The sequence below is a fragment of the Homo sapiens genome, chromosome 6 (genome assembly GCF_000001405.40).
Source record: "Homo sapiens chromosome 6, GRCh38.p14 Primary Assembly".
NCBI classification, from domain to species: Eukaryota; Metazoa; Chordata; class Mammalia; order Primates; family Hominidae; genus Homo; species Homo sapiens.
Genome location: NC_000006.12, coordinates 34,629,122 through 34,656,573, shown reverse-complemented (window position 1 = coordinate 34,656,573; position 27,452 = coordinate 34,629,122). Strand labels below are relative to the sequence as shown.

General features: G+C 39.9%; 1 protein-coding gene across 6 annotated transcripts in view, besides 1 other annotated feature; it reads left to right on the top strand.

Moving 5' to 3' along the window:
• ILRUN (inflammation and lipid regulator with UBA-like and NBR1-like domains) overlaps window positions 1-27,452 on the top strand; it is a 109,480-nt gene that overhangs the window by 40,194 nt on the left and 41,834 nt on the right. For 5 of the 6 annotated variants that reach the window (XR_926300.4, XR_007059333.1, XR_007059332.1 and 2 more), the window contains exons 2-3: window positions 1,795-1,949; window positions 9,776-9,973. Coding sequence is in view for 3 of the 6 variants with exons in the window: in NM_024294.4 (NP_077270.1) it covers window positions 1,795-1,949; window positions 9,776-9,973 (353 nt within the window). In the remaining 3 variants the exon portion in view is untranslated. The remainder of the gene's footprint in view (window positions 1-1,794; window positions 1,950-9,775; window positions 9,974-27,452) is intronic. The other variant, NM_022758.6, reaches the window with a different exon arrangement.
• Window positions 13,421-13,595: a silencer, noted in NCBI's record as "fragment chr6:34610756-34610930 (GRCh37/hg19 assembly coordinates)". NCBI's record gives its function as "represses an EF-1alpha promoter that drives an FKBP-Casp9 reporter gene in an ReSE screen in HepG2 liver carcinoma cells {active_cell/tissue: HepG2}" and the evidence as "EXISTENCE:reporter gene assay evidence [ECO:0000049][PMID:32094911]".

Sequence of the window (27,452 nt, the reverse complement as noted above, 5' to 3'; positions counted from 1 at the left end):
ACATGCAGTTTGGATTGTTACATAGCGTGGGAAGTGGAGATGATGTCACTGGTTTGAGTAAGACCAGAAGAGAAGCAGTTAATGTAATTACCAACAATTTCCTTGATCTCTGTAATGAACGCAGCTTACTGAAACCCTTTAGTGGCCCTTGGTTTCTGGCACTGATAACCAAGCTGACAATCACGCGCTTCTGCTCAGTTGGGAACTCTGGCTTAGGTGCTTCGTAGTTCCTTCTGATGAAAGGGGATTTGTGAGTAATTAAAAAGAACACCAACATTTACAAAATGATACTTCCAAAAAAGAAACTACAAATGGCTCTTTTTTTTTTTTTTTTTTTTGAGACGGAGTCTGGCACTGTTGCCTGGGCTGGAGTGCAATGGTGCTATCTTGGCTCACTGCAACCTCCACCTCTCGGGTTCAAGCGATTCTACTGCCTCAGCCTCCCGAGTAGCTGGGATTACAGGTGCCCGCCACCGTGCCTGGCTAATTTTTTGTACTTTTTTTAGTAGAGACGGGTTTCACTATGTTGGCCAGGCTGATCTTGAACTCCTGACCCCGTGATCTGCCCACCTCGGCCTCCCAAAGTACTGGGATTACAGGCGTGAGCCACTGAGCCCAGCCTTTACAAATGGCTCTTAAACCTGTAAAAAGATACTCAGCCTCTCAAGATCTCACTGAGATATATTTTTTTTAACCTATTAGATGGGAGAAATCCAAAATGTTAGAGAAACACCACTGATGAGCAAGTGGGGAAAATAGGCGTACTCTTATATTCTTGGTGGGACCATTAGCGTACAACTTTTATTGAGGGAAGTTTGGATATATTTATTAAAACCACAAACTCTGGCACAGCAGTATCACTTAATAGGAATTTATCTCACAGATTGTATACACTTGCATGTATACAAAACTGTGTGCTTAAGCTTATTTGTGGAAGAGTTAATGACTGGAAACAAACTCAAAAGTCCACTGGTTAAATGATGATCCATCTGTATAGTGGTTACAGCTGTAAAAAACAATGAGGATGCTCTTTATGTACTAACAGAGATGTTTTCAAGATACAGTATTAAGAGAATAAAGCAAAGGGCATTGTATATTATGCTACCATTTGTATAAAAAAGGGGGAAAATAAGATTGTATATTATGTTTGCTTGAATGTGTATAAGAAAGTTCTGGAAGGATATTTAAGAAAGTAATATGAACAGTTATATCTGTGTGTGTATGTTGAGGAAAAAAGAGAACATGATTTTCTGTATTATGTGCACATATTAACTTTATTTTAAAAAGTGAAGCTTCTGGCTGGGCTCAGTGGCTCATGCCTATAATCCTAGCACTTTGGGAGGCTGAGATGGATGGATCGCTTGAGCTCAGGAGTTCAAGACTAGCCTGGGCAACATGGCTGTCTCTCTCTCTTTTTTTTAATATTAACAAATAATAATAATACAAAATAAAAAGTAGTGCTTCTTTGAATGCCGTAGTTATAGAACTCTCTTTTAATTGATTTCTTTACCCATTCTTGTTTTCCTGTGGGTAATAAGGGAGATTTCCTCATACTGTTGCTGATGGTACTAATGTTTGTTACTTTCTGTGTGGGAAGAAAGTGATACACAAATTTGTTGGTCCTGGTGTTTTTCCTATTGTTCCTCAGCCAGAATAGAAGGCTTTAAAGACGTGTATACCAGGAGCCTCAGGTTCTGTGACAAACCCTAAGAAACAGGCTTTTTCCTTTTGTTTAACAATTAGGATAATATCTGGACAGTACTGAAGTCTGTTGCCTTTTCTCTTTTTCTATAGGAACCTACAAGCAGCAATTGGCGCCTATTATGACTTTGAGAGCCCAAACATCAGTGTGCCCTCTATGTCCTTTGTTGAAGATGTCACCATAGGAGAAGGGGAGTCAATACCTCCGGATACTCAGTTTGTAAAAACATGGCGGATCCAGAATTCTGGTAAGTACATAATGGGCAATCCTCCCTTGCCTAGTTTTCATTTTCTTAATAGTTAAATAAGAAGGAAATGTTTTAGCTTATGTATGTGATTGTGTAACTGCGAGCTTTCTCTTACACATGATATGTAGTATTTTCTTGTACTGGTGTGATGACCAAACATTAGTGAAATATCTCCTGCTCTAAAGTAGGAAGAAGAATTTATGTCTCATGCTTTTAAGCCACCTATAACTTAATGGCATCTAAACACAATCCAATATTGGTTTTGTTACTAGGAACTAGACTTCTATATGATGGGGTATTGGCTCCACCTGTACAGTTTTACTTCATCACTTTATTTCTGCTCTAATTAATCTTCCAGTCATTTCCAGCAGGCTAGAGGAGGTGTATCCTTGAATAGAACAAGGTAGTTGGAAAGAGCTGTGAGCATCTGCTCTTTTGAAAGCTCTTTTTTTTTTTTTTGCAACCACAAGGATGATTGTCTCTGAAATTTCATTAGGATATCTGAGACATTAATACCACTTTGAAAAATAGGGTAGGAAATATGGGAATTTGCTCAAAATGGGAGACAGAGAAATTGTTGGTTTAAAAAAAAAATACAGATTGGGTGTGGTAGCTCACACACAGAATCCCAGCACTTTTTTTTTTTTTTTTTTTGAGACAGCATCTCGCTCTGTTGCCCAGGCTGGAGTGCAATGTTGTGATCATGGCTCACTATAGCCTTAAACTCTTGGGCTCAGGCGATCCTCCTGCCTCAGCCTCTCCTGAGTAGCTGGGTCCACAGGCGTGCACTACTGTGCCCAGCTAATTTTTTAATTGTAGAGATGGAGTCTTCCTGTGTTGCCCAGGTTGATCTCGAACTCTTGGGCTCAAGCTATCCTCTCACTTGGATAGCTGATATTACATATGTACACTGCACATGGCCTCCCAGCACTTTTACAGGTCAAGGCAGGAGGATCACTTGAGCCCAGGAGTTTAAGACCAGCTTTGGCAATGTAGCGAGATCCTGTCTCTACAAACACTAAAAAGAAAAAAATACAAGAAAAACATTGTTTTGATGTACTGCAGCCTCTTTTAAGACAAACTAGAAATAAGTTAACCATAGGCTGAGCATGGTGGCTCATGCCTGTAATCCCAGCTTTGGGAGGCCGAGGTGGGAGGATCACTTCAGATGAGGAGTTGGAGACCAGTTGGGCCAACATGATGAAACCCCATCTAAAAATACAGAAATTAACCGGGTATGGTGTTGGGCACCTTTAATCCCAGCTACTTGGGAGGCTGAGGCAGGAGAATTGCTTGAACCCAGGAGGTGGAGGTTGCAGTGAGCTGAAATCATGCCACTGCACTTCAGGCTGGGTGACAGAGTGAGACTCCATCTCAAAAAAAAATTAAAAATAAAAATAAATAAATTAACCATAGTTCTTTGAAAATAGTGTCTATGTGTCTAAATTTTTTTTCTTTCTTTCTTTCTTTTTCTTTTTTTTTTTTTTTTTTTGAGACAAGGTCTCACTCTGTCACCCAGGCTGGGAGTGCAGTGGTGCAATCTTGGCCTCCTGGGCTCAAATAATCCTCTTACCTTGGCCTTCTGAGTAGTTGGGATTACAGATGTGAGCCACCGCACCATGCCTGGCTAATTTTTTAAAGTTTTTGTAGAAATAGGGTTTCATTGTGTTGCTCGGGCTGGGCTCACACGATCCTCCCACCTTGGCATTCTAAAATGCTGGGATTACAGGCATGAACCACTGCACCTGGCCTTAAATTATTTTCTAATGAGTTTTGGGAGCAGGGGTTGGGTTTTGTATTTCTTGTCACATCTAATGACAATTTATGTTGACTGGTCGAAGGTGTTTTAACTTTCTTATTATTAATGAGAACTTCAGAGAAAAATTCTGAGAGATGGAAAACTAGGCTAAAAATACGTGTTTGTGGGGGTGCCCTGTCTAGCAAGTTAATTTTATATGAGATGATTTAAAACTCTGAGGACTCAAATAAACCTATAAAAGTGACCTTTTATTGATTTGGTTTACTTTTCAGTTCTTTACAATTCAGTTCTTTATGATGGGGAAAGACTGGCTAGACCAGCCTTTTATGTAAGAATGTACCAAATTGAATTGTTATTCTTAGTTTTTCTGGCATATTTAGAAGTAACTCACCTTTGGAGGAAAGTTCAGTGTGTCATTGACCAAACACATAGTTTGGACTGACCCAATGTTGTGGATGACTCAGGACACCTGTGACTTTGTAAAATTTCATTCGCCCCCTTTCCTTTTTAGTTGTAACAGTTAGTTATAACAGTTAGTTTGGGAGGTACATGGTAACAGAGGAAAATAGCCATATTTTCTATTTTTCTTGAAATTCTTACTTGTTCAAAGTCTAATTTGCTTTACTTTGCCTAATTTCTTTCTCACCTTGCTTGATTTTGCCTGCTTTTAAAAAAATATCAAGACAGTTTCTTCATTTTATAATAGCTTTTATTCATCATGTTTTTATTCTGAATTTAAAACCTGCTGTGTTACTGATCAAAAATGCTTTCAGAGGCTGGGTGCAGTGGCTCACACCTGTAATCCCAGCACTTTGGGAGGCCAAGGTGGGCAGATCACTTGAGGTCAAGAGTTCAAGACTAGCCTGGCCAACATGGCAAAACCCCGTCTACTAAAAATACAAAAAATTAGCTGGGCATGGTGTTGCATGCCTGTAGTCCCAGCTACTTGGGAGGCTGAGGCACAAGAATCACTTGAACCCAGGAGGCAGAGGTTGTAGTGAGCCAAGATCGCGCCGCTGCACTCCAGCCTGGGCAACAGAGCCAGACTCCATCTCAAAAAAAAAAAAAAAAAAAAAGTTTTTTGGAATCTACCAGTGAGATATATATATATATATAATTTTTTTTTTTTTTAATAAATGAGGTTTGTTTGGAAAGTGTGACTTGAATTCAAGTTTTATTTGTTTATTTTAAAGTGAAGTCAGTACCTTGTTTACTTAATAGTGAAAACAATGAAAATGGCCTGGCTTTCTGTGAGCTCTTCAGTGTTTTTAAATACTGAAAGTTGTTAGAGTACTGTTGAAATGTTTTAAATACCATCTTGTGGCAGACTAACCATTTTATATTTCAAAAAGCCTCTTGATATATCTACTTACTAGACTGTTACTTGGGTTAATGGGGAGCTTTGGGAGGTTGGTATGTAGTAGTTAGACTGTCAAATCAGAACCCCCAAAGCCTACCTTTCATGTTGACTTACAAAAATCTCTCTTGGTGGGCCTGACTGCTTTTCCCCTCTGCATTTGCTTTGTAACCTCAGTTTAAAACAGCTTCTGAATCTCTTTCCTTGTGTGAAAGGGCATTCTTGTGCCTGAACAGGTCTTGAAAGGTTAGGTAGCAGTTGCTAGAGATTTTATCTTTCAAGGTGCTTTGCATAAATAGGTTTTCTCTTCTGGAAGTTGTCCCCCCAGCTGTAGAGTAGTTTTAATCTATAAATTGGATGTTTTCCATTTGGTTAAGGAGAATCTGGCCACCCGTTACTGAGTATCAGGCATGTTATTTGAGAGAGGAAGAACATGCATGTGCACAGGTTTTTGGCATCATCCTAATCTGGCCTGAGTTATTTCTGTAAATAGAGTAGTAACATGGAAGTAGGGCAGGCCTTGGCAGTTTTTCCTCTGGCTGTCTTACTCTCATTCATAACCTCCCTAAGAAATAAGCACTCACTGAAAGAGCTACATAAATAATAATTTTTATGGCACTTCTGTCTTGTCATGTTTTAGGCGTGCTGGGCATGCAAATATACCACAGATGAGACTGATAGGAATCGCATATAGTTGTCCCAATAGCTTTCCCGAAGAAGGCGAACGTTGCGCACTGTTTAAAATTAAATTCCTGGCCAGGCGTGGTAGATAGCTCAACCCTGTAATCCCACTACTTTGGGAGGCTGAGGCGGGCAGATCACCTGAGGTCAGGAGTTCAAGACCAGCCTGGCCAACATGGTGAAACCCCATCTCTACTAAAAACCCCATCTCTACTAAAACTGCAAAAAAATTAGCCAGGCATGGTGGCAGGCGCCTGTAATCCCACGTATTCGGGAGGCTGAGGCAGAAGAATTGCATGAACCTGGGAGGTGGAGGTTGCAGTGAGCTGAGACCGCGCCACTGCACTCCAGCCTGGGCGGCAGAGACTCCGACTCATAAATAAATAAATAAATAAATAAATAAATAAATAAATAAATAAAAATAAATAAATAAAATTAAGCTCCTAATATTTTTTAAGTCCTTAGATTTAGATTTGCAGAAGCAGAACTGAGATATCTAATAACATAGATGCAAAATTCTAGGATTCAGACTTCTGTCACTGTGGAAGCATTGGAAGCTTAGTAAACCTGAGCAGGAAACTTTGGGAGTTAAAATGAAAATTTAAAACTGTCCCTCTAAAAATATGAGTAGACAGAATTCTCTTTACCAGCACCTAGAGCTTCTCAGTTGTTATACTACCATGCTCTGTTGTACAATTGTAGTGAATATTAAGCTGTGCATGTTATGATAACCCTAGTGTTTCTCTGACTTTGGTGAAATTTTTGTGATTGTCATATGAGAGGGTATCTTGGGCATATTGATACAGAGTCGTCTTTATTTTTTGAACTTCATAGAAGTGAATATAAAGGGATGGGAAAAGAACTTGAGAAAGAACAATTATTTCCCCCATTTTTCTTCTAGTGCATTAAAATAGTTAGCTTTCTACCTTTCTCTTCAGTATGATTCTAGAGAAGATAATTTTGCTTCTTTCATTCAACACATTTTATTATGTTCCAGTCACTTTATTAGGTACAAGGGAGGAATGGTCACAAGATTGATGAAGGTTTCTGCTTTCATGGAGCTTAATATGAAATGCAGTGTCCACACTTATAAGGGTTAAAAAGGAGATCATCATTAAGGTTTGTCTTCTGTATTGCTATTTGGATATTCCTTACTGTCTCCAGACTATTTCTATAATTGTATATACTTACTAAGTCCCCTGGGACTGTTGGACTTTTGATTTTTGTGATGCTTGCTACCATCTCAAAATTGTAACATGACAGGGTTTTTTTTGTTTTTGTTTTTACTTTATTTTAAAAAATAAAGTGATATTTCATATCTGGAGAATTACAGCCTTAATTATATACTTGATTGTGATACTTAACTAGGAACGTCATAAAACACAGATTAGTCTTTCTTTTCTTCTAGATAGAAATCTATCCCCCATTAATCCAGTTTGCAACTGAGACTTAATTTGGAGTCCAGTTCTATTATACTTCTCGAACTCAGATTTCAGGTATGTTTAGTGTAGTCCAGACAACTCACTGGTATTCCCTTCCTTCTGTATCAAGCATCAATATCTTTGACCTTTTCAGAGTTACGTGACCTAACAGTTGTGACTATAAGAATTGTATGTATCATTGATAACACTCAGAAGGCAGATGATTGGTTTTTCACTTCATAGCCAATGAACACTTCAGAGTTGTTGGTGGATAACTCTTCTAGCCCAGAGGTTCTTTAAATACTCCACTGAGAAGTAATAGGTATCTGGAGTACCAAGAAGGGCAGGACCCTAGCCAAATGCCAGTGTTTAATGTTACCCATTTAATGTTTTACTGACTAACTCAGTTTCTCTGGAATGTAGCAGCACTCCTTTTGCACAGCTAAGATGACCCAATCATCTCAGCTGCTTCTGGTTGTGCCTAGGAGAGCTAAGTCTTTTTCACATGCAGTCTTGGTTTACCTTATTTACTTATAAGTTCAAAAAACAGACACATTCTTGGGATTTCATATAAACAGACATTATCTTGTTGCAGGTGTATGTGTATGTGTGTGTATGTATATGTGTGTGTATGTGTGTATCTTAAAGAATAACTGTGAATTCAGCCCCATGATAGTAGTATAATTTTTCTTTTCGATTTTGGTCTTTAAGGAGACTGACATTTTGTAAGGTGCTTCATGTCAGCTACTGTTCTGCTTGTTGTAAGACAAATAGGCTTTTGCCAGACCTCAGAAATGAAAAAGATAAGTTGCGTGTATTGTCAGTATATCATCCACAGCCTTTCCTCCAGCAGTGGTTGCCCTTTATAGGGTTAACTTAGGACATTTTGTTGGCAAATTTTTTTAGAAGAAGGTATGCTAAAACATAGTGGCCACTGCTTTAGCTGCTACCCCTTAAGACCCAAGGAGCACAGAGGGTGCCATTCATAATGGAGCTGAGATCTCAGGAGTAGAACTCTGGTTGCCTTTCTCTGTCTGGTTTCTTTCCAGTAGTGAGCCATCAGGTATGTCAAAACTGGGCACTTAGAGAGCAAGGAACTGAGGCATCTTAGAGTACTGGTAGGAGATAAATGACAAGCACCCTCTGTTCTAAGAGTCCTGCCATGTTCAAGTTTTCACAGTGGTTTATTTTTATAATGAATGTATATATTCCAAAAAAAGATATATAGAAGTTTCTGTCTACAGTTAAAAAGGAGTATATCAATTGCTGCATATTGGAGAGACTTCACAGGAAAAATCACATCTAGTCACTGTGTGGCTACCTATACCGCTTGACTAGTGGGAACTAGTCAACACATAGATATCTCATGAATTAGTTACATGAAAATAGGTACACAAGAGTGGGTACCGGCTGGGCGCCATGGCTCATGCCTGTAATCCCAGCACTTTGGGAGGCCAAGGCAGGCAGATCACCTGAGGTCAGGAGTTCATGATCAGCCTGGCCAACATGGTGAAACCCCATCTATGCTAAAAATGCAAAAATTAGGCCAGGCGCTGTGGCTCACACCTGTAATCCCAGCACTTTGGGAGGCTGAGGCAGACGGATCATGAGGTCAGCAGTTCGAGACCAGCCTGGCCAACATAGTGAAACCCCATCTCTTGTAAAAATACAATAATTAGCCAGGCGTGGTAATGGGCGCCTGTAATCCTAGCTACTCAGGAGGCTGAAGCAGGAGAATTGTGTAAACCCAGAAGGCGGAGGTTGCAGTGAGCCAGAGATTGTACCATTCATTGTACTCCAGTCCAGGCGACTCTTTAAAGAGTTACAGGTTAAATTTAACCTGTAACTCTATAAAAATCTATCTCCCTTTGACAGGTCTGATTGACCCTCCTTCCCATCCTATCCGCAAGTACCTCCAACTCCTCCAACTAGTGCCATTGTTCCTGCGACCACAGTTCATTGATGTTATCAGGGGAGATCACCCCATTGTTTATATTTTCACTACCACCCAAGGTCTAAACTTTTACTGCCTTTTATATTCATGTGGTCTCTTGAGCTCTTGAGTATTTTATAGTTATGGACCCCAGAAGAAAAGTCATACCTCAGGCAAAAAGCAATTTTAAATTGAGAATAATACCATTGAAATTACTCCTTGTGTGTTTCATCCTCTTGTTTCTGTGGAAAAACTGGCAACAATCAGATATACTGTGAAAATGGACATGTGTTACCTTTTAGTAGAGAGAGCTGTCCCCTAAACGTGGGCCTGTGCTTCATCTCCATGGCTCTTCATGGACATCATTCTTAGGTTCTACAGATTCAGTGTGACGTGTGGCCTTCCCTGGAGTCACCTGAAATACTTGTCTTGAGGAACTGCCTTGCTTTTGCCTTTTGTGCTTCTTCATAGGGTTAGACTATTGGTCAGAGGTTGTTGGTTCTGATAATTCCTTTTGATCAGTTGTGTGAGACAATATATGGCTTAGGTATATGTGGTTAGGTTTATGTATGTATGTGAGAAAAAGAAAGAGGCCTCTTCTACAGTTTCATAATAAACTGCACCCAGCATAGGACCATTGATTGCCTAACATTTTTTTCTTTTGCTTGAACTCAGGGGCAGAGGCCTGGCCTCCAGGGGTTTGTCTTAAATATGTCGGGGGAGACCAATTTGGACATGTGAACATGGTGATGGTGAGATCGCTAGAGCCCCAAGAGATTGCAGATGTCAGCGTCCAGATGTGCAGCCCCAGCAGAGCAGGAATGTATCAGGGACAGTGGCGGATGTGCACTGCTACAGGACTCTACTATGGAGGTGAGTATGTCCTTGTGCAGCCCAGGGTAAAGGAACTAAGGTAACATCTTATAACATCCCCAGTGTTGCTCACAGAGCCTGTCAAATTGCATAACAGGGCATGGCCTCTTTTTAACAGTCACCTCATGCAGGTAAATGATTTGCATTTTATGACTAATTGATTAGTCTAGTGCTCTTTCTTTTATCCTAGGAATATAATTTAGTGACCTGTACGAGGTATTATATTTTGTGTTCTAAATAAATATTTAGTAGTGCTGTTGTTTTTATTATATAAGCTGGTAGATACTGTAAGAATACTAAAGGCAGTCCTTGTTCTCAAAGTCTCTAGACACAAGTCATATAAAACAGATAATGCACAAAATGTGCATACTTCTTCCAACCTACTTGTCAAACTGCTAACATATCTCACTCCCTTCTCTTTATTGCCAAACGTTTTGAGCAGTGATCTATACTCACTGTCTCTTCTTTCACATTTTCCATTCACTCTTCAACCCAATTTATCCTTTATCCACTCCCCACTCCAATGAAAGTTAATCAGGGACTACCCTGTTTCCAAATCCAGTAGCCTCATTACAGTCTTCATACCAGCTGACCTTTTAATGATCATTTGGCACCATACTACACAAGTTTTTTGAAATAGGTACTTTCTTAGACTCATAGGACATCTCTCCTGTTTGTCTTCCTCTTCTCTGTTCTTTCTCTGTCTCTGTCTATTCTCAACTTTACCCTGGGATTCCTAGATTCTTAGTTGGGCCCCATTCATGGTTGGTGACCTCATTCACCCATGCGGCTTCAGCTGTCGCCAGTATACCATACACGGTGATGCTCAAATTAATATCTATAGCTGTGGCCTCTTTTCTGAACCCCACACCCATGTTTTAACTCGTTATGGGCAGAACTTTTAACATCTCCCAGACACAATTTATATCTGCTGGGCATGGTGGCACACGCCTATAATCCCAGCACTTTGGGAGGCTGAAGTGGGAGAATTGCATGAACCCAGAGGCTCGAGATCAGCCTGGGCAAAACAGAGAGACCCTGTCTCTACAAAAAATAAAATTAGCCTGGCGTGGTGGGGTGAGCCTGTTGTCCCAGCTACTTGGGAGGCTGAGGTGGGAGAATTGCTTGAGCCTAGGAGGTCGAGGTTGCAGTGACCCATGATCACACCACTGCACTCCAGTCTGAATTACAGAGTGAGCGCCTGTCTCAAAAAAACAAAACAAAACAAAAAAACCAACCTTATATCCTTCTCATTGGCACCCCCCTGAGATAATCGGGTCAGAAACCTGGGAGCCATCATTTGTTCTGTCATTCCTAATCAGAAACTGATTCCTATTGGTTCCACTATATCCTGTGTCCTGGAGATCAAAAACAAATAAATAGTAAATAGTACTTGCCTTCACAGAGCTCTTAACTGGACTCATGGCCTGTGGGCCAGTGGGAACTTTGGAGTTGTTTCTAGACATCCTAGAATTAGTGATCTCATATATGTTTTTGGAGCCAGTGGCAACTTTAGAAATGTTAATATTAGAAAGAGTCTCATAGTGCTTATGTGACATCATTCTTTGCCTAAAGCCTTTGTACCTACTGTAATGAAGCTAAACTCCTTGGCACAGGATATAAGGCTCACGATCTGGCCTGGACTCATTTTCACTCCCATCTTCAGTCATCCCCTAACTCCCCCACAGTCAGTCCCCAAAGATGCCATATGCTTTCACTTCTCCATGCCCTTGCTCATTTGTCTCATTGCCTGAAATATCCTTTTATTTCACCAAACTGCTGCTCATCCTCAAGGCCCTGCCTGAGTCACCTTTCCTTCTTGCTTCCTCCCCCTTGCCTCCTCTCCCCACTACCCTAAGAAAATTCATCCCTCCCCCTTCATTAATATCATGCACATGCTTGTTATTATATTTAACACATTGTATATTAGGTATTTGTTTTGCTTATCCTTTTATCCTATGAAATTGTGAACAATTTGTTGAATAATTGAATAATCACGTATCAAAATGTAGAGAGGTTATTTGTCTCTTCCCTGTAGGACTCCATTTTCAGGCAGTGTCTGCTAAGAATCCCCTTGACCTGGGATTGGAAGTTGTTTCTCCCACTGCTGAGCTCCTTTATATTAGCTCTTCACCTCTCACTCCTTTGTTTCTTCTCTTGGCACTTTACGTCTTTCTACCCATTTAATTTGATAAATGTCTCATGTCATCTTTAAAACTGAAGGTGACACATGTCTGGTTTATCTTTATAACTCAAAAATGTTGAGCTTAATGCAGAATGGAGAATAGCTACTTAGTAAATTTTTAAAATACATGCTACCATTTTTAAGGGGAGAAGAAGACAATATACATGACTTAAAAATAAAAAAAAATCCCTTTGATGAAAAAATACTACTTCTCAATGTTCCCTAGTGGTTAAGAACGCTAGTCTTGTTTTATGTGTGTGTGTTTTTAGTGTTAAATTTAAAATAATTATCACTATGTGGGACATTACATTTTATACTCATAGCAACTCTCTCAAATTCAAAAGTAGTTGGAATATAAATATGAGGGGACTTTAAAAAGATCTTGGAAAAATGGAATTAAAAAATAAAAGTAAAGGCCGGGTGCAGTGGTTCAAGCCTGTAATACCAGCACTCTGGGAGGCCGAGGTGGGCATATCACTTGAGGTCAGGAGTTCAAGACCAGCCTGGCCAACCTAGTGGAATCCTGTCTCTACTAAAAATACAAAAATTAGCCGGGCAGTTGGCTCACGCCTGTAATCCCAGCTACTCGGGAGGCTGAGGCAGGAGAATTGTTTGAACCTGGGAGGTGGAGGTTGCCATGAGCCGAGATCGCGCCACTGCGCTCCAGCCTGGGCAACAGAGTGAAGGCTTCATATCAAACAAAAAAAGATAAAAATAAGATATATAAATTTTATTTCTCAACATAAGCTTCATCAAGTTCAAGACACTTTTGTAAGTAATGATAACAGCCATTTAGTCCATCCCCAAAGAACTGAGGGTCCTAAGAATTTAACCATGTAAATGCAGGTTTTTTTTTACATTATTAACTGAAGAAAACTGGGTGTCCATTAAAGATTTTTAAGACTAGGAAACAAAAAGAAGGTAGAAGGAGCCAAGTCAGGACTGTAAGGTGGATGCCTAATGATTTCTCATGGAAACTGTTAGAAAATTGCCTTTGCTTGATGAGAGGAATGAGCAGGAGCATTGTCATAGTGGAGTAGATCTTTTTCTGCTAAAGCTTTGGCTGAGTTTCTTAAAACTAACACACACACACACACGCACTTTTTTTTTTTTTTTGAGATGGGTCCTTGCTCTTGTCGCCCAGGCTGGAGTACAGTGACATGATCTTGGCTCACTGCAACCTCCACCTCCTGGGTTCAAGTGATTGTCCTGCCTCAGCCTCCCGAGTAGCTGGGATTACAGGCGCTCACCACCACACCTGGGTAATTGTTTTTGTATTTTCAGTAGAGACGGGGTTTCACCATGTTGGCCAGGCTGTTCTTGAACTCCTGACCTCAGGTGATCTGCCCACCTTGGCCTCCCAAAGTGCTGGGATTACAGATGTGAGCCACTGCGCCTGGCCTCTCTCTCTTTCATTCTTTCCTTTTTTTTTTTCTCCTTGGTCACCCAGGCTGGAGTGCAGTGGAACGATCATAGCTCACTGCAGCCTCAAAGTCCTTGGCTCAAGTGATCCTCTTGCCTCAGCCTCCCAAGTAGCTGGGACTACAGGCATGTGCCATCATGCCTTTTTTTTTTTTTTTTTTTTTTTTTGGTAGAGACGGGACCTCCCTATGTTGCCTAGGTTGGTCTCAATTCCTGGACTCAAGTGGTCCTCCCTCCTCAGCCTCCTAAAGTGTTGGGATTACAGGTGTGAGCCACTGTGCCCAGCTCTCAGAACACTGTTATTATTCTTAGGCCCTCTAGAAAGTTGACAAGCAACATATCCTGCGGAGCCAAAAAAAATTTGTTGCCATGACCTTTGCTCTTGACTGGTCCACTTTTGCTTTGACTGGCCCACTTCCACCTCTTGGTAGCCATTGCTTTGATTGTGCTTTGTCTTTAAGATCACAGTGGTAAAGCCGTGTTTCATCTCCTGTTATAGTTATTTGAGAAATACTTCAGGATCTTGATCCCCTTGCTTAAGATTTCCATTGAAAGCCCTGCCCTTGTCTGCAGCTAATCTGGGTTTAACAGTTTTGGTACCCATTGATTGGAAAGTTTGCTCAACTTTAATTTTTTAGTCAGAACTGTGTAAGCTGAATCGGTTGAGATTCAGCTGTGGTGTTGGCTGTTGTTTCTGCTATTAATCATTGGTTCTTGTTCAGTTAGAGCATACACAAGATTAATTGTTTCCTCCAAAATTAATGTGGATGGTCCGCTGCTATGGGCATCTCCAGCGTCATGTCGTCCCTTCTTAAAACAGGTTATCCATTTGTAAACTGCTGATTTCTTTGGGGCATTATCCCCATAAACTTTTTGTAAAGCATCAATGATCTTCCATAGTGGATTCAAACTTCACTATGAATTGGATGTTTGCCCTTGCTTCAGTTTTAGCAAAATTCATAGTGAGGAGTTTTTTTTAAACTGATGTCTTGTCCTTAGTGCCTCAAACTAGGTGCTGTTCAGATTTGTTATAATAAGCTAGTAAGAGTTTACTTTGATGCAAAAAGAAGTTGAAATCCATGCATAGTTTTTTCATAATACTCAATTTCCATGATTTTTTTTCTTTTTTTTAGATTTAATTTTGTGCTTACCCACCATGAACTTTTTGAAGATGCTTTGTATACTAGCCTTGGAGCAAAAACATTAACATTTTAACTTTAAACCCCTAATTTTAACTTAACAACCCTTTTTTGGTCTTAATAGTCTGTAAGTTGTTTCTCAGGACTTTGTGGAATCTAGTGCCTTCAAGGGATTTTAATAATTCATCTGATTTTGTAGTTTTCAAGCATTTTTGTTAAGCTATGGAACCTTTTCCTTGACAGAAGTATATATGAATGCCTCCTTGTAAAATGGGAAAGGATAAACATGAAATGTTTCGTTGAATTCTGGGCCTCCTTGGCTTATGTTTTCCAGCCCTTGTGTGTCTGGGATGACCGCTGGAGCTCTGTGGGGTATAGTTTGCCAACCTTTATCTGCTCCAGTGAACAGTTTAATTCCATTTTATAAAGTACTGTATTTCATTGAATCCAAATTATTATTGGTTGTAAAACATACCCTAGTATCAGTAACAGAAAGAGAATAGATTATGTATACAACCATAGCCATGAGCACATGGAAAAAAATAAACTTCCATAATAACCATGATTGGCTCACTCGGCTTACTAGCTTATTGAGTGTAATATAGTGGCTAAGAGTGTGAACTGTGGGACTCTGTTGCCTAGGCACAAACTTGGACAAATTAGGTAACTTCTCTGGACCTCATCTTTCTGTTTTAACAACAAAAGATTGCTTTTTGGAGGTTTCTGTTTTTGGTGGGGTGGTTGTTTCTATAATTTGTTTTTTTTTTTTTTTTTTTGAGATGGAGTCCTGCTCTGTCGCCCAGGCTGGAGTGCAGTGGCGTCATCTCAGCTCACTGCAACCTCTGCCTCCCAGGTTCAAGCGATTCTCTTGCCTCAGGCTCCCGAGTAGCTGGGATTACAGGCATGTGCCACCATGCCCGGCTAATTTTTGTATTCTTAGTAGAGATGGGGTTTTACCATGTTGTCTAGGCTGGTTTTGAACTCTTGACCTCGTGATCCACCTGCCTCAGCCTCCCAAAGTACTGGGATTACAGGCATGAGCTACCGTGCCTGGCTGCTTCTGTAATCTTTAGATGGTCTTCTTGAGAAAGAATCCACTCCCTTTAATTTATTTATTCATTCATTCATTCATTCATTCATTTATTTGAGACGGAGTCTCGCTCTGTCACCAGCCTGGAGTGCAGTGGCGTGATCTCAGCTCACTGCAACCTCTGCTTCCCGGGTTCAAGCAATTCTTCTGCCTCAGCCTCCCAAATAGCTGGGACTACAGGTGCGCGCCACCACACCCGGCTAATTTTTGTATTTTTAGTAGAGACAGGGTTCACCATGTTGGCTAGGGTGGTCTCAATCTCTTGACCTTGTGATCCGCCCACCTCAGCCTCCCAAAGTGCTAGGATTACAGACATGAGCCACCGCGCCCGGCCCACTCCCTTTATTTTTATAATAACTCTTAGATTGTTTCAGTTCACGTTTCCTCTTAGAAAGAATTTTTGCTGTATTCAGTCAGTTACAGGTCTCCTGTAAAAGGTCTCCTCCACCCTGTTTCAGCTTGGCTGTGCTCTCTCAGAGTTTCTCAGTGGGCGTGCTTTCGGCATGTGGTGTGGACACTTCTTCACTGTGTGGGGCATATTACAAGACCTCTGGCCTCCTCCCACTAAAGATCCGTGGCTTCACCTGTTTATCTTGATAACAAACACTGTCCCCCACCACACAAATTTCTAGCTCACTTGGTCCAAGACTAATAAGTATCTGATTTTTGACAGATTTATTTTCAAGCCCTAACATTTTATCTTTTTTTTCCTCGATTTTGATACCCCTTCCCACTCCACCCCACCAAAGGATTAGCTTCTTAGCTTTTATCTAAGTAGCAAATACTAACAAATAGTAGAAAGTACTAACAAATTCTCGTACTTACTATTTGCCAGGTATTATTTTGGGCTTTTTGCATATGTTACCTTGCGAAATATTAGCTGCATTTTATTGATGAGAAAACTAAAGACCAGAGAGGCTTAAGGTCTAGTAAAAGTTGTAAATTAGTTACGAATTATAGTTATAAATTAACAAAAGTAATTTTATTATCTTTGTCATTACTTTGGCTGTCACTAGTATATGGGGTTCAGAAGGAAACTGGTTCTAGGGTGTTAATACTTGTTAGAGTTTAGTGAGGGTGGAGTATATGGTCCGGAAGTCTTCTCTCTACTTCCAGAGTGAGTGGGCATTGAGGTGGAGTTGAGATTGACAGGGCTATTCTTAGGTAGTTGGGTGTCAGTTTTCCCCAGAGAGTTCCTGCCTGCTAGAAGATACTCAGTTCTATAGGACATTGGACTCTGGGCAAAGGGTAAGCAGCATGAGTGATTGTCCTTGTTTTAGCCTGGATGCCAGTAGTAATATGCTTCATCTCCTACTAACAGAGAGCCGCCTTCCAGATTTCCAAAGGAGAGATTTACCCTGTACCATGACGGTTTCCTCTAACTCTCAGGGTCCTAGTTGTGAAATAAGCTAAGTCAAGTGATAGTCTGATTATCTCGCACTTATGGGGGTTTCCACTACTTGAAGTAGTTCTTGTTAAATACCTCATATGGGTCCCTAGGGACATTTGACATATCGAGTAAATAACCTATGCATTATTCATTTGGTTTCTCAGAGTTTAGAAATGAAGCTCCCCTTATGAAGGTCCCAAACCACAATATGTCCCACATGTTAGGAAACTTATTGGGTGCTCTATGTAAACTACACTGTTTATTTCCCAAAACCTTTGTAAATTCTTCCTTTACTTTCTCCATTTTATAGCATGTCCTACCTAACCAGGTAACATGAGGCTTTCCTTATTTCTTGCTTGTGTTTTAGTAACATCATGTTACAAAAGAAGCTATGGTTTCATACAAACTTCTTCATACTAGAATCCATGATGTCTTCTACTCACATGCTATTCTGCCCGACATTTCTCCCAGTTATCTTGCCCTTTTGCCTATTAACCCCACCTTTAGAACATTGTTCTTTTATGTTGAACTCAAAAAGGCTTCATCTGCTTCTAGAAGATCCTCCATAAGATGCTCACTGTTTCAGTTCTGGTCTCTAGAATTCTCTAATACCAGAAATATGAGTAGCCCTTGAAAATAAGATTCCATTTTTGTTTTTTTTTTCTTTTTTGAGAGAGGGTCTTGCTTTGTCACCCAGGCTGGAATGCAGTGGTGTGATCACGGCTCACTACAGCCTCAACCTCCTAGGCTCAAGCAATCCTCCCAACTCAGCCTCCCAAGTAGCTGGGACCACAGGCATGGGTTTTTGTTTTTGGTTTTGTTTTGTAGAGACGGGGTTTTGCCAAGTTGCCCAGGCTGGTCTTGAACTCCTAGGCTCAAGCGATCCTCCCACTTCAGCCTCCCAAAGTGCTGGGATTACAGGCATGAGCCACAGCAACCTGCCAAATTTCATTTTTGATAAGAGAAATTCTAGCCTAAGCTGTGACTTGTATGGAAAATATTTTAGAAGGAATGTTTCAAAATGTAAATGAGATCTGAAATTCTAAAATATTATGTTATGAGATGATAGGCTATTTCATCTTTGAAGAAGGAAACCTGCCGTCAGTTGCACTGCCACCAGGTGGTGGTGATTGTTTGTTTTGGTGGTCATTTCCAGATAGTTCTGTGTGAGTCAAAGTCGGTATGAAGGCCCGGCATGGTGGCTCATGCCTGTAGTCCCAGCACTTTGGGAGGCCGAGGCAGGTGGATTGCCTGAGCCCAGGAGCCCAAGACCAGCCTGGGCAACATGGTGAAACTCCATCTCTACCAAAAATACAAAAAATTAGCCGGGCATGGTGGCACACACCTGTAATCCCAGCTACTTGGGAGGCTGAGGTGGGAGGACTGCTTGAGCCTGGGAGGCGGAGGTTGCAGTGAGCCGAGATCACTCCACTGCACTCCAACCTGGGTGACAGAGTGAGACCCAGTTTCAACAACAACAACAACAACAACAACAACAACAACAACAACAGCAGCAGCAGCAGCAGCAGCAACAACAACAGCAATGTGAAATGACTGTACTGTTCAGATTAACCTCTAAAATGCATATATGTGGGTCTTGAACCTTCTATGGGCCATCAAAAATTTAAAAATCTGATGAAACAGTAATCCTTTGTAAAGTATAGTAATTAGCAAGATATTGAATGTCTAGGCAGTAAAGCATCAAATGTTTTCACTGCCTAGTCACTTGGCTGTGAGTAGTGTTAATGTGTGCTGTTAGTGCTAATGATGTTTGCTTTAAAATTAATTTTCTTACTCCTCAACTTACCATACACATGTATAGAAAAGGATTTGGTAGAGGGCAAAAATATAATTTGAAAGCTGCACCTTTTTTTACTCATGGTAGCCAGCGCCCTTCTGTTAAACAGAAGCTTCTTTAGTCTGAAATGTTGGATTCCAGAAATTCTGAATTTAAGGGAGTAGTGATATTTCCTTAAAAAATTCTTAAAATCAAGTACAATTCTGTACTAAAATACTAGCATACTTACTGTTAAAAGGAAAATAAATAGTTGTAAAACCATTGACTGTTTTAAAGATGACATATTTCAGCATAATTTGTATCTTAATATAATCCTTAACTTTTTTGTATATATGCATTAGTAAGGACTATAGCTTAGGCCAGATATAGTTAAAGTGTTTTACTTATTTAGGGAATATAGCCCTGTCAGAGTAAAACATTTGCAAATAGAACTTACTGCACTTCCCCAGTTCTGAAGTGACAGTAATTTTAATATGCATCCTTGGTTTAATGATTACTTTCCTTGTAGGGGAGAGAGGTAGAGCCACTGCCATATTAAATGAAAACATTAGATGGTCCATCTTCATTTCAGAGATATTAAAAATGAATAAAAAGGTGATACTTAAAAATTAGATATGTATGTTTTCTCTTTACAAAAGAAAAATATGTTGACATATATGCTGAAACCATTTCAGGTAAGAAATTCTTAAGAAGGTTTCACTGAATTGTTGTGTGATGGGAGTTTTTAGTAAGTGCCATTGTGTGCACTTGCCCCTAGATCAGACTAGAACATGTTTCTTATAAATAAGGAAGTAAGCATAATTGACTTTTATTCAAATTATCAGTATATGCTATAAAACTAATGTGTGGTTATTTTTTAACATAATGATGATTGGTATCTTAAACAGTGTAGAGGGCTTTTAAACTTTTATCTGATAGCTTAGTTTTTGATACAGTTTATATTCCTTAATTATTGTTTAGAATGTAGTCATAACTTCATTCTTAGAAACCTCACATTACTCTGGGGATCTTTGAAGAGGATAATCTCCTATTGAAAAGCAGATTGCATTCTGTTCCTGTAACGATGGTTTGACACCAGCCTTATAATGATGTAATGGGTTTTACCTTGAAATGGCAAGGATATTTTTCAGTTAGAAATTAGTTCTGTAATTTTTATTTTGAAAAAAAATCTTTCTTTAGCTTTTTATTTTTCTCCTTTTATTGTTAAAGAGCTTATACTTTCCTTTATTTACAAAGGGAATGTCAGTGTTGGACATTCAGCCCCGAGAAAGAATGTTGTGAGCCTACTGGCCTCTGGATTTTAATTTAATTTAATTTATTTATTTATTTTGATATAGAGTGTCTCACTCTATCATCCAGGCTGGACAGTGTCAGGATCATAGCTCACTGTAGCCTTGAACTCTTGGGCTCAAGCAGTCCTCCCACCTCAGTCTCACAAGTAGCTGGGACTACCTACCTGGCTAATATTTTTAAAACCTTTTTTGTGGAGCTGGGGTCTCACTGCATTGCCAGGGTTGGTCTATAATTCCTGGCCTCAAGCAATTCTTCCTCTTCGCCTCCCGAAGTGCTGGGAATACAGATGTGAACCAGTACGTCCAGTCTGGATTTCTCTTTGTAGTAACTAATGCCCTTCCAGTTTCTTCTTAAGATTTCCAGGCCCAGCGTGGTGACTCACACCTGTAATCCCAGCACTTTGGGAGGCTGAGGCGCGTGGATCACCAGAGGTCAGGAGTTCAAGACCAGCCTGTCCAACATGGTGAAACCCCACCTCTACAAAAATATAAAAATTAGCTGAGCATGATGGCAGGTACCTGTAATCCCAGCTACTTGGGAGGCCGATACAGGAGAATCACTTGAACCCAGGAGGCCAGGAGGCAGAGGTTGCAGTGAGGCGAAATCGCGCCATTGCATTGTAGCCTGGGCAACAGAGCAAGACTGTGTCTCAAAAAAAAAAAAAAAAAAAAGCTTTCTAAGAGTTTCTTTTCCTCCCTCCCTCCCTCCCTCCCTCCCTTCCTTCCTTCCTTCCTTCCTTTCTTTCTTTTTTTCAGACAGGGTCTCACTCTGGTTGCCCAGGCTGGAGGAGTGCAGTGGCACGATCCTGGCTCACTGTAGCCTTGACATCCCAGGCTCAGGTGATTCTCCCACCTCAACCTCTCAAGTAGCTGGGATTACAGGCACGCGTCATTACACCCCGCTAATGTGCATTTTGATTAGAGACGGGGTTTTGCTATGTTGCCCAGGGTGGTCTCAAACTCCTAGACTCATGCAGTCCACCTGCCTCGGCCTCCCAGAGTGCTGGGATTACAGACGTGAGCCACTGTGCCCAGCCAGATTTCTAAGAGTTTTGCTTATAGTTTGTTTTGACATGATCTTGAAAGCAATTTAATTCTAAAGTGGGTTTGGTTTTGGCTCAGTAGATTTCAGTCATTTTTACGTTTTATTTTCATGATTTCTCTTATATATTTAGAAATCAGAAGTGATTGTGAAAGTGAATTTTATTTCTGACAGCCTTATTTGAGGACTTTAAAAAATATTTAATAATACATTTTATTTAACTGAATATAGCCAAAATATTTTTTCAACATGTGACTCTAGCTACATCCCAAGTACTCAATAGCCACCATATGGCTGGTGGCCACCAGCTCTTTTGGACAGTGCAGCTCTGTGGATGCTGTCTGATACGTTGTACCATTTTTTTTCTGTAAGAAATTTTATAGAATTGGTGTTATTCTTCTACTAAAGAATTTCCAGCAAAACCATTCAAACCTGGAGGTGTTTAGGTTTTCAATTACTAGTTCAACTTATTTTCATAGTTATAGGTCTATTAAGGTAATCTATTTCATCTTGAGTGATGTGGGAAAATTTCAAGGAGTTGGTCCTTTTCATCTAAGTTGAATTTATGTTCATAGAGTTGTTTGTAGTATCCTCTTATTATCCTTTTAACATCTATGTTTGATGATAATCCCTTCTTTCATTCTTGATATTTTGTGTCTCTTCTCTTTTTCTTTCTTTTGATAGATTTCCCAATTTTATTGGTCTTTGAAAAGAATCAGCTTCTGGTTTCATTGGTTTTTCTCTATTCTGTGTTCAATTTTATGGATTTCTGCTCTTAATTTTATTAATTCCTTCTTGATTTATTTTCTAGTTTCTTAAGGTGGAAACTGAGATTATTGCTTTGAGACCTTTCTTCATTTATAATATGTGTTTAGTACTATAAATTTTCCTCTAAGTGTTGCTTTTAGTTGAATCCCACAACTTCTGAAATGTATTTTTTTTTAAATTTTTAGACACTGCAGTGAATGCAGAAATGTATTTTTATTTTCATTCAGTTCAAAATATCTTCTAATTTCCCTTGAGACTTCCTGTTTGACCTATAGATTATGCAGAAGTGTGGTGTTTAATTTTCAAACGTTTGGAAATTTTTATCTTGTTCAATGTTAGTTTCTTTTTTAAAATACATTTTTAATTTTTATTTTTACTTTGTAGAGATGGAGTCTTGCTAGCTTGTCCAGGCTGGTCTCATTCCTCGGCTCAAGTGATCTTTTTGCCTCTGCCTCCCAAAGTGCTAGGATTACAGGCATGTGCTCCCAGCTTTGTTAATAGTTTCTAGTTTAATTCCATTGTGGTCAGAGAATATCCTTTGTATGATTTCATTCCCTCCCTCCCTCCCTCCCTCCCTCCCTCCCTCCCTCCCTCTCTCCCTCCATGTCTCCCTCCCCTCCCCTCCTCTCCCCTCCCCTCTCTTCCTATTCTCTTTTTTCTTTTTCCTTTCCTTTCTTTTCTTTCCCTTTCCATTTCTGACAGGGTCTCACTCTGCCCAGCTTCCCAAGTAGCTGGGACTACAGGCGCACACCACCATGCCTGTCTTGTTTTTTACTTTTTATTTTTTGTAGAGACAGGGTCTTATTTTGTTTCCCAGGTTGGTCTCAAACTACTGGCTTCAAGGAGTCCTCCCACCTTGGCCTCCCAAAGTGCTGGGATTACAGACTTGAGCTACCACACTGGCTGATTTGATTTTTTGTTTAATTTATTAAGGTGTTTATGACCCAGGAGATGTTGTCTATCTTGGTGAATATTCCATGCGTACTTCAAAAGCATGTGTATTTTGCTGAGTTGAGTGTTCTATAAATGTCAGTTCGATCCAGTTGGTTGATTTTGTTGTTCAATTCCTTTATATCTGTTGATTTTTGTTGTTGTTTACTAGTTCTATCTGTTACTGAGAAGGGAGTGTTGAAAGGTCCAACTACAATTGTGGATTTGTGTTGTTACTTTTTTTCTCCTTTCAGTTATCAGTTTTTAATTCATGTATTTTGAAGCTCTGTTGTTAGGTACATAACATATTAGCATTATCTTTTAGGTGAATTACCCATTTATTAATGTGTAATATCCCTTTTCTTCCCTGATAATTTTCTTTGCTCTGAAGACTACTTTGATACTAGTATAGCCACTTTAACTTCCTTTTGACTAGTGTTTACAAGGTCTTTATCTTTTAGCTTTCAACCTGCATGTATCATTTTATTTGGAGTTTCTTATAGATAGCATGTAGTTGGATCTTTTTTCCTCCATTCTAACAATCTGTGTTTTCTAATTGGTGTGTTTAGACTATTCACATTTAATATAATTATTGAAATGTTTGAATTTAGTTTTACCACTTTATTATATGTTTTGTTCTCTTAGTTGAAGACTTAAATCAGTTACATTGCTAAACTTATTGGTTACTTGTGATTAAATTGTTTTAAAAATGTATTTGCTCTGGCCGGGCGTGGTGGCTCACGCCTGTAATCCCAACACTTTGGGAGGCTGAGGCAGACAGATAACAAGGTCAGGAGATCGAGACCATCCTGGCTAACATGGTGAAACCCCGTCTCTACTAAAAATACAAAAAAAAAAAAAATTAGCCGGGTGTGTTAGTTGGTGCCTGTAGTCCCAGCTACTCGGGAGGCTGAGGCAGGAGAATGGCATGAACCCAGGAGGCAGCCTGGGTGACAGAGCGAGACTCCATCTCAAAAAAAAAAAAAAAAAATTATTTGCTCTGATAAAAAGAAATACATGATTTATTATAGAAAATAAAGTCTAAAGAGAAAAGGAAACATTTGTTCTGCCATCCAAATATAAACACTTATTTTTTTTTATTTTGAGATGGAGTCTTGCTCTGTCGCCCAGGCTGGAGTGCAGTGGTGTGATCTTGGCTCACTGCAACCTCCGCCTCCCAGGTTCACGCTATTCTCTTGCCTCAGCCTCTCTAGTAGCTAGGACTATAGGCGTGTGCCACCACGCTTAACTAATTTTTGTATTTTGAGTAGAGACGGGGTTTCTCCATGTTGGCCAGGCTGGTCTCAAACTCCTAACCTCAAGTGATCTACCCGCCTCAGCCTTCCAAAGTGCTGGGATTACAGGTGTGAGCCACCACGCCCAGCCTAAACACTGTTAATGTATGCATTTCCACATAGTTTTTTAAAATCCATGTATTAAAAGCAAAAAACTTTTTTGTTGTTTAAATATGGTATTGTGCTACCTATTCTTATGTAACCTACTTTTTTCTCCCATTCACTAATGTTTTAGAACTTCTTCCCCTTAACATTAAATACTTTTAAAAACACAGTTTTCAGTAATTCATACCATTCCACTAGATTAGTATTAACTAAACTATAAACTATTATGGATTTTTTTTTAATTGAGGTAAAATCCACATAATAAATCATTTTAAAGCATGCAGTTTAGTGTACTTAGTAAATTTATGGTGTTGTGCAACCATTATCTGTATTTGATTCCAATGTATTTTATAACCCCAAAAGGAAACCTCATACCTGTTAAGCATGGCTCCCCTTTCCTCCCTTCCTGCAGCCCCTGGCAGCCACTAATGTTCTTTCTGTTTCTCTGAGTAGATACTTCTTTTTGCTGGGATAGTGCAAGATATATAAATAGTGAGCAAATAATAAAATGTATTAGGCTGTGCATGGTGGCTCACTCCTGTAATCCCAGCACTTTGGGAGGCTGAGGTGCGTAGATCACTTGAGGTCAGGTGTTTGAGACCAGCCTGGCCAACTTGGTGAAACTCTGTGTATATCAAAAAATACAAAAATTAGCCGGGCGTGGTGGTACATGCCTGTAATTCCTGCTACTCGAAAGGCTGAGGCATGAGAATGGCTTGAACCCAGGAGGCGGAGGTTGCGGTGAGCCGAGATCGCGCCACTGCCCTCCAGCCTGGGTGACAGAGTGAGTCCCTGTCTTAAAAAAAAAAAAAAGAGGGGAATGGGGGACTGAGAAACACTGGTGAAGTTCATAGTCCAGGAGTGTAGGTTCACCAAAAGACTGAAACCTAATCACACCTTACCATTACATTACTACTGGCTTCTTTACTACAGTTTCTTTTAGCCAGTACATCCTGTCTACCTTTCAGCAGGGTATACTAAAAAGCAAGAAACACAGTTTGGAGAAATTGAATAGCATCAGAATCAGTTTTGGCAGGCGTGTTGGAATTATTAGGCCAGGAATTTTTTTAAAAACTATAAATAGTATGCTAAGTTCTTCAATGGAAAAAGTAGACAACATGAAAGAACAGATGGATAATGTAAGCAGGGAGATGGAAATTCTAAGAAAGAATCAAAATGCTAGAGATAAACATTAACAGAAATGAAAAATGACTTTGATGAGCTTGTTAGTGACTGGACACAACTGAGGAAATAATCTCTGAGCTTGTGGATATGTCAGTAGAAATTCCAAAACTGAAAAAGAGAGAAAAGGCTGAATAAAAATAGAACAAGCCAGGTACAGTGATGTGTGCGTGTAGTCCCAGTTATTTGGGAGGCTGAGGCAGGAACATTCCTTGAGCCCAGGAGTTCAAGTCCAGCCTGGGCAACATAGTGAGACCTCATTGCTTAAAAAAACAAACCCAGGGCCAGGCGGTGTGGCTCACGCCATAATCCCAGCACTTTGGGAGGCCAAGGCGGGCGGATCACGAGGTCAAGAGATCGAAGCCATCCTGGCCAACATGGTGCAACCCCATCTCTATTAAAAATACAAAAATTAGCTGGGTATGGTGGTACGTGCCTGTAGACCCAGCTACTCGGGAGGCTGAGACAGGAGAATCGTTTGAACCCAGGAGGCGGAGGTTGCAGTGAGCCGAGATCACACCACTGCACTCCGGACTGGCGACAGAGTGAGACTCTGTTTCAAAAACAAAACAAAAGAAGCCCAGAATACAGTAGCCTCCCCATCACCCTATCTGGTGGATAGGAAAGTTTCACTTTCCATGGTTTCAGTTACCCATAGTCAAACACAGTCTGAAAATATCAGATGGAAAATTCCAGAAATAAACAGTTCTTAAGTTTTAAATTGCATTCCATTCTCAGGAGCGTTCCATCTTGCCCAGGATATGAATCATCCCTTTGTCTAGCATATCCACGTGTATGCACTATTCACTTGTTAGTCACTTAGTAGCCATCTTGGTTATCAGATCGACTGTTGGGATATTGCAGTGCTTGTGTCGAAGTAACCCCTATTTTACTTAATAATGGCCCCAAAATGCAAGAGTAGTGATACTAGCATACTGTTGAAATTGTTCTATTTTATTATCAGTTATTGTTAACCTCTTACTGGGCCTAATTTATAAGTCAGAATTTATCATAGGTATGTATATATAGGGAAGAACATAGTATATATGGGATTTAGTACTTTCCATACTTTCAGGCATCCATTGGGAGTCTCGGAACTTATTTTCCATGGATAAGGAAGGACTCCTGTATCCATGAGCTGTGGGACAACTACAAAAGGCGTAACATACACACATAATGGGAATAACAGAAGGAGAATAGAGAAAGGAACAGAAACAATATTTGAAACAATACGGCTGAAAATTTCTCCAAATTAATGTCAGACATCAAATCACAGATCCAGGAAGCTCAGAGAACACCAAACAGGATAATGCCCAGAAAATGACATCTAGCATATCTACTCAAACTGCAGAAAATCAAAGATAAAGAAAAATCTTGAAAGAAGCCAAAGGGAAAAAATATCTTACCTATGGAGGAGCAACAGTAGGAATTACATATGATTTCTCCTCAGAAATGCAATCAAGAAGAGAGTGGAATTAAATATTTTAAATATTGAGGCTAGGCACAGTGGTTCACACCTATAATCCCAGCACTTTGGGAGTCTGAGGCAGAAGGATCACTTGAGCTTAGGAGTTCAAGACCACATGGCCAACATAGGATAATTAAGAAATATTACAAGCAACTCTGTGCCCACAAACTTGATAACCTAGATATCATGGAATAATTCCTTGAAGTACACAGTTTGTCATAGCTTGCTCAAGAAAAATAGACAACTTGAATAGGCTTTTGTCTGTGAAAGAAATTGGATCAATAATTAATAAACTTCTGCAACAGAAAGCACCAGGTCCAAATGAGTTTTCTGGTGAATTCTACCAAGAATTAATGAAGAATTATACTCATTC